Here is an 11,342-nt window from a genome sequence, read left to right on the forward strand (position 1 = left end):
TTCTCAGTCTAGGGTGGCCTTCAAGACTTGGATTCCCTCCCCTTTTCAATCCCTCCCTTTTAAATTTTTTTTAGAGATGGGGTCTCATTCTGTCACCCAAGCTGGAGTGCAGTGGTGCATTCACAGCTCACTGCAACCTGGAACTCCTGGGCTTAATGGATCCTCCTGCCTCAGCCTCCCAAATAGCTGGGACTCCAGGCACCTGGCTCCCATTCTAATCTCTATGCCCACCACCTCTCCTGCTGAGATCCCATGCCATGTCTGTCTGTAACCAACTCTCTCCTGCTCTCTGTCCTTCCTTAGTGGCTCCCTGTGCCTAGAATCCCTTTCTCCCCTTGGCCCCTGAGAAACATCTGTCCATCCTTTGGAGTTTTGCTTCAGATTGGCTCCTCTAGAAGCTTCCCTAACACCACCACTGAGAGCCTCACCAATTCCTCACCCGGCTCCGCCTCTGGGTTCTTAGAGTGCTTTTTACAGACATTTGCTCCTATCATTGTATTTGAATTATTTTAATTTTTGTGTTATGTTTCTCTAACAGTATAACATGTGTGTGTCAATTTTTATCAACAACCTGGAGCTTTTAGTTAGTATTTGAAGAATCTTAGTCAGGAACCCATACATGAAGAGTGGTTAGCAAACATATGAAAAGCCCTAAAAGGAGTCCACAGCCCAGACGGGCTGCAGCAACTTCAAATATCCTCATCCGAATCTGCACCAGAGGACCTGCTCTTTGGGTAAGGGATGCGGAAAGTAATTTTCCACTTACAGAATGGGCGGAGTTCAAGCTACATGGTGGGCCAGAAAGACTAATACAGGCATCTCTGCCCTTTCATGGGTAGAACAGAGCACGCTCAAGGTCTAAACTCGGCTCGTCCCTGGGCCTTCCACCTACAAGAAGCTTCTGCCATTGATTTGATTTAGTTGACCTACTGTCAGGATACAGTCGCATTTGCCTTTAGTGAAACTTTCCTGCAGGGTGTTTGTTGGAGGGCCTGAAAGAACAGAGATTGAAGTCACCAAAATAACAGAACAGGTTGAGTGACCAGCTCTCTACCTGCTTGCTAATGAAAGTTGATTCATGTTGTGGAATGGGGCCTATAATTTGCTTTCATTTTAACGCTTTACTTTGTAGTGAGGCGGTTGGACCAAGGCATCTGAGGGATTCCCCTAATCATTGAAAGCCATCATCATCCACCAAAAAGGACCTGACACTCATAAGCCAAATTGGTTTAGATCAGTTTCTTTTATCTCTCCAAGTAAAGGTGAGCTGGAGAGTAGGGGCCTGTATTGATCACCTTTGTGACTAGCTCCTGGCACTGCCCTTGCCCCACTGGAGGTGCTCGGCAAGTGCTTGTTGACAGAACAAGGGCACCCTTGAAAGACAGAAGGCCAAAGACCCTTTATTGCTGAGCCAAGCTTTGAAACATTGAGGACAAACTCAGACATCTGATTAGAACCATCGATGATCAGGCTGAAAACACATAAGATAACAAAGGATACGTGAGAAAAGTTCCTTTTGATAGCTTTTCATTGAAATTTATTCCATAAGAAATAGCTTTCCCTCTTGAGAATTCATAGTGCATATCATCACATTTGCATTTAAAGGCATTGAGGTATTTTTGTGGTAATATTTATAATAGCACAAATATGGAAACAATTTAAATGTCCAAACATTTGGCTCAATTGTGGACCATCCATTTAGTGTATTATAGAACCATTAAACTTATTGGGAGCTGAGCTTCCCAATGGCAGTGGTTCTCTGCTCTGCATGACCCCTTTTTGAATTTTCTGCTTTCTTATTAAGAGCAAGATTCCCCTTTGCTTCTAAAATAAATCCAATCAGTCAAATATTTACCTTTACTTTAAACTATATTTCTTTTTAATGTTTTTATTATTATTTATTTTATTATTATTTTTTATTATACTGTACCAATGTTAATTTCTTGTTTTTGACAAATGTACCATAGTAATGAAAGGGGTTAACATTAGTGGAAACTGCATGGGAGGTATATGAGAACTGTGTGTACTCTATTTGCAACTTTTCTGTAAAATTAAAACTATTCCAAAATAAAAAGTATATTAATATTTTAATTTATATTTATTAATATTTAATTTTAAAATTTTATTTTAAAAAGAAATATATTATTAATATATTTCTTTTTAAATAAATATATTATTAATATATTTCTTTTTTAAATAAATATATTTCTTTTTTAAATAAACTTTTCATTTTGGAATAGTTTTAATTTTATGGAAAAGTTGCAAATAGAGTACACACAGTTCTCATATACCTCCCATGCAGTTTCCACTAATGTTAAACCCTTTCATTACCATGGTACATTTGTCAAAAACAAGAAATTAACATTGGTACAGTATCATCAATGAAACTTCAGGCATTATTTGTATTTCACCAGTATTTCTACTAGTGTCCTTTTTCTGTTCCAGGATCTCATCCAGAATCCCACATTACATTAAATCATCACGTCTCCTTAGTCTCCTCCAACCTTCTCAGTCTTTCCTTGTTTATCGGCACCCTGGAAGTTTTGAGTGCTGGCCAGGTATGTTGTAGAATATCTCTCAATTTGGGTTTGCTTGATGTTTTCTCATCATTAGACTAAGATTATGGGTTGTGAGGAGGAATACCCAGAGGCATAATCCTGATTCTACATTGTCGCACATTTGTTTACAAAATTTGACACTGCAGAAGCAGCCTCCAAGATGACGAACACCTCCTGGAACTCACTCCCATGTACAGTCCCCTCGCATGAATTAGGATTAGTCTGTGGTTCTCATAGAATACTGTGGAAGTGACAATGTGTGATAGCTGAGGCCAGGTCATAGAAGGCATTGAAGCGTCCTCCTTGGTTTTGCAGGTAGGATTTGCTCTGGGGCAAGTCAGCTGCTGTGTTGTGAAGACACTCCAAGACAACTGTGGAGGGGACCCACCCTGCCAGCCACGTGAATGAGACTCCCTGGAAGCAGATCTTCCAGCCCCAGTTGAGCCTTCAAGTGACCACAGCCCTGACACGTCTGACTGATCCTCATGAGAAATCTCAAGCTAGAGCTATCAGTCCACCTGTTTCCAAAGTCCTGGCCCGCAGAAACTGTGACAGAAAAGAAGTGCTTATTATTTATATAAGTTACTAAATTTGGGGATAATTTGTTACACAGCAATTAGATAATGAATACAGAAACACTCAGAAAAGTATTCGAAAAAACAAAACTTCAAATTTTACAATTCCAAAATAAACTCATTATAACTTGAATATAATCCCTTCTTTTAATGCTTAACCGTACTTAAACTATGTCTTTGTATAATTTAAAAAAATAAAACTGGGATCATAATTTATTTCACTTTTATATACTGACATTTTCCCCACTTAGTGTGTAAATAAATTGTAGATAATTTATCCATGTTATTAGAAAATTCTTCAGAAATGTAAGTTTAATGGTTCTATAATATACTAAATGGATAGTCCACAATTCAGCCAAATCGTTGGACATTTAAATTGTGTGAATTTGTGCTGTTATAAATATTACCACAAAAAATACCTTTGAAAGGGACAATACAGGAAACTGCTGGGAGCACAGGTTGGAAGCTCGTTTTGTGTAGGCATGTTCTAATTCTGCCCCTCCCTAGCTCTACGGCTTTGAGCAAGTTCCTTGGTATCTGTGCCTTGTTTTCCTCTCCTATAAAATAAGGAATGAAGTACCCTTGCTGGTATTTACTATTATTTTTTGTGGTAAAATTTACATGACATTTACCATTTTAACCCTTTTTAAGTGTACAATTTAGTGGTATTAAGTACATTTTCATTGTTATATAACCATCACCACCATCCATATTAAAACTCTTTCATCATTCCAGACTGAAACTCTATACCCATTAAATAGTAACTCCTCATTCTCTCCTCTGCCCAGCCCCTGGTAACCACTATTTTACTTTCTGTCTTTATGAATATGACTAATTTGAGTACACTATTTGTCCTTTTTGATCTAGCTAATTTCACTTAATATAATGTCATTTTTAAAATGCTGAATAATATTCCATTATATATCTTGTTTCATATATTATAGAACTATGTATATATAAATTGCATAATTATAAAAATTATATACAAAGGGAAAATTATATGTATAAATATATATATAAAATATGATATATATACCACTATATATTTATACCACACATATATATATATATATTTATACCACTTGTGTGTGACCTCAGCTATCTCCATTGCCTGCATCACCCTGGCTAACCAGGATTCCTGAGTCTGTACACGTGACCAGTTCATTCCTACCACAACCAGCATTTGAGAAAGCCAGTGCACTAAGACTATAACCAAGGAATCTCACAGAGTCTACATCACTCTCCTGCCACCCTTGTCAGAACTGGTGCTGGTACCCACTGTTGAGAGACTTGAGGACAGATCACATCTCTGGATCCCTTGCAGGCATTCCCCAACACCAGCTTGGAGTGTGACAGCCCCACTGGGCAGCTAGACCCATAGGAGTAGCAATGTTTCCAGTAGTCTGGCTCTCAGGGACTCCTACTTCTAGGGGAAGGGGGAATGCACCACATCAAGGGAGCAACCTGTGGGACAAAAGAATTCAGAGAGCAAGCCTTGAGTCCCAGAATGTTCTGCTTGCAGAAAGTTTCTTTTAGTAGAGGCACAGGTGCAGTGCTGGGCTCAGCGGGAAAAGTCTGTGATTTTTATCCTAGCAGTCAGGCAGTAAGGCTGAATCAGTAATTTTTTAAAAACTGCAAACAAACAAAAGAAAAGCCCAGTTTCAGATGGATTCACAGCCAAATTCTACCAGGCCTTTAGAATTGGTAACAATCCTACTGAAACTATTCCAAAAGATTGAGAAAGAGGAACTCCTCACTAACTCATTCTATGAAGCCAGTATCACCCCAATACCCAAACAAGGAAAGGACATAACAAAAAAGAAAACTACAGACCAACATCCCTGATGAACATAGATGCTAAAATCCTCAACAAAATACCAGCAAACTGCATCTAATAGCACATCAAAAAGACAATACATCATCATCAAGTGGGTCTCAGCCCAGAGATGCAGGATGGTTTAACACACATAAGTCAATAAATGAGATACATCACACAAGCAGAATTAAAAACAAAAACCATATGATCACCTCAATAGGTGCAGAAAAACATGTGATAAAACCCAGCAAACTTTTATGATAAAAACCCTCAACAAACTAGGCATAGAAGGAACATATCTCAAAATAATGAAAGCTGCATATGACAAACCCACAGCCGACATCATACTAAATGGGGAAAAGTTGAAAGCATTCCCCATAAGAGCTGAAACAAGACAAGGATGCCCACTTTCACCACTTCTATTCGACATAGAAGTCCTATCAAGAGCAATTAGGCAAAAGAAAGAAATAAAGGCATCCAGATTGGAAAAGAGAAATTCAAACTATCCCTGTTTGCTTAATAATATGATCTTATACCTACAAAACTCTAAGGACTCCTCCAAAAAATTCTGAGATTTAATAAGTGAATTTAATAAAGTCTCAGGTTACAAAATCAATGTACACAAAGCAGTAGCACTGCTATACACCAACAACAATCAAGTTGAGAATCAAATCAAGAGCTCAATCCCTTTTACGATAGCTATAAAAAAATGCCTGGAATATACTTAACCAAGGAGGTGAAATATCTCTATAAAGAGAACTACGAAACACTGCTGAAAGAAATCATAAATGACACAAACAAATGGAAATATATCTCACGGTCATGGATTGGGAGAATCAATATTGTAAAAATGACCATACTGCCCAACGCAATCTCCAGATTCAATCTAATTCCTATTAAAATACCAGTACCATTTTTCAGGGAATTAGAAAAAAACAATCCTAATAGCCAAAGTGATCCTAAGAAAAAGAACAAATCTGAAACAATCACATTACCTGACTTCAAATTATACTACAAGTCTGTAGTTACCAAAACAGCAAGGTATTGGTATAAAAATAGATACATAGACCAATGGAACAGAGTAGAGAACTCAGAAATACAGCCAAATACTTTGTTGAACTGATCATCAACAAAGCATACAGCAACATAAATCAGGGAAATGATACCCTATTCAATAAGTGGTGCTGAGAAAACTGGATAGCCACATGCAGAAGAATGAAACTAGATCTCTATCTTTCACTTTATACAAAAATCAACTCAAGCCGGATCAAAGACTTAAGTCTAAGACCTGAAACCATAAAAATTCTAGAAGAAAACCTAAGAAAAACTCTTCTGGACATTGGCCTAGGCAAAGAATTATGACGATGACCCCAAAAGCAAATGCAACAAAAACAAAAATAAATACATGGGACCTAACTAAACTAAAAAGCTTCTGCACAGCAAAAGAAATAAGTAGTAGAGTAAACAGACAGCCCATAGAATGGGAGAAAATATTTGCAAACTTTGTATCTGACAAAGGACTAGTGTCTAGAATCCACAAGGAATTCAAAGAAATCAACAAGAAAAAACCCACAAATAATCCCATCAAAAAGTGGGCAAAGGACATGAATAGACATTTCTCAAAAGAAGATATACACATGGCCAATAAATATAAGAAAAAATGCTCAACATCACTAATCATCAGGAAAATGCAAATTAAAGCCACAGTGAGATACCACCTTATCACAGCCAGAAAGGCCATTATTAAAAAGTCAAAAAACAGTAGATGCTGATATGGATATGGTGAAAAACATGTACACAGCTGGTGGGAGGGTAAATCAGTACAACCATTATGGAAAATAGTATGAAGATTTCTTAAAGAACTAAAAGCAGATCTACCATTCAATCCAGCAACCCCCCTACTGGGTATCTACCCAAAGGAAAATAAGTCATTATATCAAAAAGACATCTATATGATATTTATCACAGCATAATTCACAATTGCAATGGAATCAACCTAAGTATCCATCAACCAATGAGTGGATAAAGAAAATGTCATATATATATATATGTATGTATATATATATGTATGTATGTATATATATATACACATATACACACACACACACATACCATGGACTATTTTTTACTTTTTTTTTTATTTTTGAGATGGAGTTTTGCTCTTTTTGCCCAGGCTGGAGTGCAATGGTGCGATGTCAGCTCACAGCAACCTCCGCCTCCCAGGTTCAAGTGATTCTCCTGCCTCAGCCTCCTGAGTGGCTGGGATTACAGATGCACATCACTATGCCCGGCAAATTTTGTATTTTTAGTAGAGACAGGGTTTCACCATGCTGGCCAGACTGGTCTCAAACTCCTGACCTCAGGTGATCCACCTGCCTCGGCCTCCCAAAGTGCTGGGATTACAGGCGTGAGCCACCACGCCCGGCCAATACCATGGACTATTACTTGGCTATAAAAAAGAACAAAATAATGTCTTTTGCAGCAACTTGTATGGAGCTGGAAGCCATTATTCCAAGTGAAGTAACTCAGGAATGGGAAACCAAAAATGGTATGTTCTCACTTAAAAGTGCGATCTAAGCTGTGGGTACACAAAGGCATACAGAGTGGTATAATGTACTTCGGAGGCTCAGAAGTGGATGAGGTACAATGTACACTACTGGGGTGACGAATGTACTAAAATCTCAGACTTCAACACTGTACAATTCATCCATGTAACCAAAAAACATTTGTACCCCAAAAGCTATTGAAATAAATTTATATACATATATAAAATGTAAAAGTTCTGCTCATCAAAAAGAGCTCAAGAAAATTAATAGGTAAACCATAAATTGGAGATATATATGGGACAAACACACACACACATATATATACTTATCTGACAAATGATTTATATTTGAAACATACCAAGAACTCTACAACTCAGTACTAAAAATATTAACAACCCAATAAGTGAATAAGTAACATCACTGTGATCCTGGGTCCAGGTTCAACTTACGTCTCTGGAGGCTAAAGAATGAAAGTTGAACTATACTGTAAGAAAATCTGCTCCATCATCAGCAAGGCTATTTAACGTTTTTCAAAAAATAGCCATGTCAACTCAAAGTACAGTATTGCTATTCCAGTAATCTTTGGTTCATTCTCAATGGGTCTCCAAAGAACTTTACAGATATTAATCAGATAATCTTCCCTGTTTCCTTAAGAGTCAGATGAGGGAGTGAGCAGCCTAATCCCATAAAAACAGAAAACCAAGGAAATGCCGGTCGCTGAGATGCAGCTGGAGGCAGAGCCAATAACCCAACTCTTGGCCCCTGGCAGATGGAAAAGATGCATTCTGTGAGTTGAGCAATGGATCAGCACTGTGATTAAGTAAGAGCTGTCTTTCCACCCTTCCTGATGCACGCACCCAGCCTCTCCCTCTGCGGACAGTTATTATATAATGCCTCCCTCTCAGGGAGAGTCGGGGCTTGCTTTACTGCGGGATCTGGCTTAAAAGTTTCGCCCTGCCGACTGCCTCTGGGAGCCTCCAGTGACTCATTTCCTGCTCCCGGGCTTGTGCTGTAGCTCGCAGCGATGACCCCGGGGTCTCCACTCCTTCGCCATCGCTGTTTCCTGGCCTCCCACAGGCTTCCAGGACTCCACCAAAACCCTCCTGGGTGCATTCCTCATCCCCGTTCCCATCCACCCTGGGCAGGACTTGAAGTTGCCAGAGCAGTAGCAGTCAAGTCTCATTGCCAAGGGCCAGTGTCATCACTCAGCATTGACGGTCTCACCAACATTCAGGCCTCCGAGCTTCGTTTCTGCTGATACCCTCACCTGGAATGCTCTTCCCAATCCTCCTCAGCTCCCCCAGTAACGTCATTCACCAGCCTCAGCATCCAGGTCCTCCCTCTCCTCCTCTGCCTCCTGCAGACCCTCTTTATTAGCGCTTGGGAACTTGACAATGTGCATACCTTAACAGAGCCCTTTGACCTCCTGGGAAACGAAAACAGGCAACAAACTGTAAACACAGAATAAGACCATATCAAATACAGAGAAGTGCTATGAAGAAAACAAAACAGGCTCATTGACCAGGGAAGGAGTGGGAGTATTTATTTAGACCACATAGCCTTGGAGGAGGTGATGTTTGAGTTGAGACTTGAGTGAGGAGATGGATCCAGCCCTGCAAAGGTCTGAGAAAAAGTGTATCTGACGGGAGGTGGAGGTTGTTCAAAGGCCCTGGGGTAGAAATAACTTGGCATTGGAGGAAAGGGAGAAAAAAGCCATCTGATGGGGGAGGAGGTGCGTGAGGGGTGAGTGGATCAAGGCGAGAGGGTTTATTCAGGACTGCATGGGAGCTGATGACAGGGAGGTTCCACGCCAATTGCTTTCTGTTGGTGGAGTGAGGATCAGACAAATGCCTCGTGCGCTGGGTCCTGTTACGTTGCAGTAGTGAGGACGTCACTTGCAAGAAGCATTTGGTCCTTTCTTCCCCAGTCCCCAGTTAAGCTCTCCTGGCTGGGCCTTTTGTCAAGTATTCTGTGGGCTGCACTGGGCTCTTTAGTTGGGTAGCAATTATTAATAGTTCCTGTTCAGAGCACTCTGCAAGAGAGTGGCAGATTGAGAAGGCAACGTGTAGCTTGAAGCTCTTCCAGACCTCCAGGACTACTGGTAGGAGACAATGGCAGAGCCCGTCATCATAATTTCTTTCCTCCTGGCTCCTTAGATCTAGAAAACCAACCTTGCATTATTTTACACAAATTAGACGATCAAGGCAAAGTCTCTGAGTGACTGAAAATGCATTTGCAATGACAAGAGAGGTGAGAAAGTGCAGGAGTTCATGGGGTGGAGGTGACTATTTCACAGTTCTGTTTCCAATCCATTAGCCCTGGGCTTTGAGGGATCTGATAAAGGGGTGGAATTGGCCAATTTCCTTCCTCTTAATAATTAGAACAGCCTTAACAAAGAATGCTTGCTGAACACACACCGAGAGCCAGGCACAGAATGTTCAGCAGTTTACCTGGGAAACTTGTTCAGTCTTCACAACTGCTCACTTTTCAGATGAAGCTCAGAGACAGTAAGGAATCTGGTCACTGTCATATCACTGGCCAGTGGCAGGTCCAACGTTTAAACCCAGTCTGAATCTAGATTTTAAGGCCTGACACACTGTGTGTCCTGCCTCTAAGTGGCTATTACCGTTCCTTATCTATTCCTGGTTGCCAGACACTCACTGAAGCATGGGCTGAAGCACTTTGAGCTTCTTCCATGCCTGGCAGCTGCTCTGAGGCTGAGCCTGTCTGTGCAGAGCTGCTGTCCCTGGAGGTGCTGACCTGCACTGTCAGAAGGAAAGCCAGAGTGGAAGGCAAATCCAGGATTGGCAGAGCCGGGACAAGCCCTTTGTATGTTCCCCTTGGGAAAAAAACATGAGGATATTGCATTTTTTAATAAATGAGTTTAGCCAAGCCTCTTTTTTTACTCCATATCCAGGAATACCCAAAGTTCTCTAGATGCTTCTTGACTGCAGAAGGGGAAATTTCCCAGACGTTTTCTGAAAGTTGACTCTGTCTGTCATGTGACGTGCTCCTCAAGGCTGAGCATTTGGTTTGCAGGCAGTGGGGACCAGCTAGGGACAACTTCACGGGTGCATTTTCGCATGCAATGACAGAGCTGAAGTGGTCAGCAAAATTAGCTTAAAATAAGAGCACGATGCTACAACAAGGGGCAACCTTGATGAAGGCAGTTTGCCCCGCACAGTTCCATGGGTTGGCTATCCCTGTGAAAATGTGCATCCCCCAGAGGCTGACCTAGCATGGCAGGCCTGGGACACTGATGTGGGTCAGTGTAGTGGGTTGAATCATGGCCCCCAAAAAGATATGGCCAAGTTCTAACCTGTGACTGTGACCTTATTTAGAAAAAGTGTCTTTACAGATGTCATTAAGTTAAGGATCTTGAGATGAAATCATCCTGGATTTAGGGTGGGCCCTAAGTCCAATGACAGGTATCCTTATTAAGAGAAAGTTGGGAGAGATTTGATGCACAGGGGAGAAGGCTGCCTGAAGAAGGAAGCAGAGACTGGAGTGATGCAGCCACAAGCCAATAAGCCTGGAGCCACCAGGAGCTGAAAGAGGCAAACAGGGATTATTCCCTAGAACCTTCAGAGGAAGTGTGACCTTTCTGATACCTTGATTCCCAACTGTTGACTTCCAGAACTGTGAGAGAATGAATTTCTGTTGTTTTAAGTCACTCAATTTGTGGTCATTTGTTACAGTAGCCCCAGAAAACTAATAAAGAGAGCACTGCTCTTGTCTTGGGCCTGTTTTACTATTTATACTTCCCCCACCCCAGAGTAACAAGTTATGCACTTACAGTGAGAAATGCACTGAGAAGGGGAGGCCACCACCTGCTCAGGGCATTCTG

At 40.8% G+C, this 11,342-nt stretch overlaps 1 long non-coding RNA gene across 1 annotated transcript, besides 2 other annotated features; it reads left to right on the forward strand.

Moving 5' to 3' along the window:
• Positions 1 to 331: 331 nt before the first annotated feature.
• LOC105370139 (uncharacterized) lies at positions 332 to 3,258 on the forward strand. Its single transcript, XR_941804.3, has 3 exons — positions 332 to 734; positions 2,446 to 2,558; positions 2,874 to 3,258. It is a non-coding gene; the product is annotated as an uncharacterized LOC105370139 (long non-coding RNA).
• Positions 7,817 to 9,016: an enhancer, noted in NCBI's record as "MED14-independent group 3 enhancer chr13:30276622-30277821 (GRCh37/hg19 assembly coordinates)". NCBI's record gives its function as "activates an origin of replication core promoter dependent on BRD2, BRD4, P300/CBP and CDK7 cofactors, and independent of MED14, by STARR-seq in HCT116 cells {active_cell/tissue: HCT116}" and the evidence as "EXISTENCE:reporter gene assay evidence [ECO:0000049][PMID:35650434]".
• Positions 7,990 to 8,527: an enhancer, noted in NCBI's record as "H3K4me1 hESC enhancer chr13:30276795-30277332 (GRCh37/hg19 assembly coordinates)". NCBI's record gives its function as "activates a minimal SCP1, AML or CMV promoter by ChIP-STARR-seq in naive H9 embryonic stem cells {active_cell/tissue: H9 hESC(naive)}" and the evidence as "EXISTENCE:reporter gene assay evidence [ECO:0000049][PMID:30033119]".

This window comes from Homo sapiens, chromosome 13 (genome assembly GCF_000001405.40).
Source record: "Homo sapiens chromosome 13, GRCh38.p14 Primary Assembly".
In the NCBI taxonomy this organism is placed as follows: domain Eukaryota; kingdom Metazoa; phylum Chordata; class Mammalia; order Primates; family Hominidae; genus Homo; species Homo sapiens.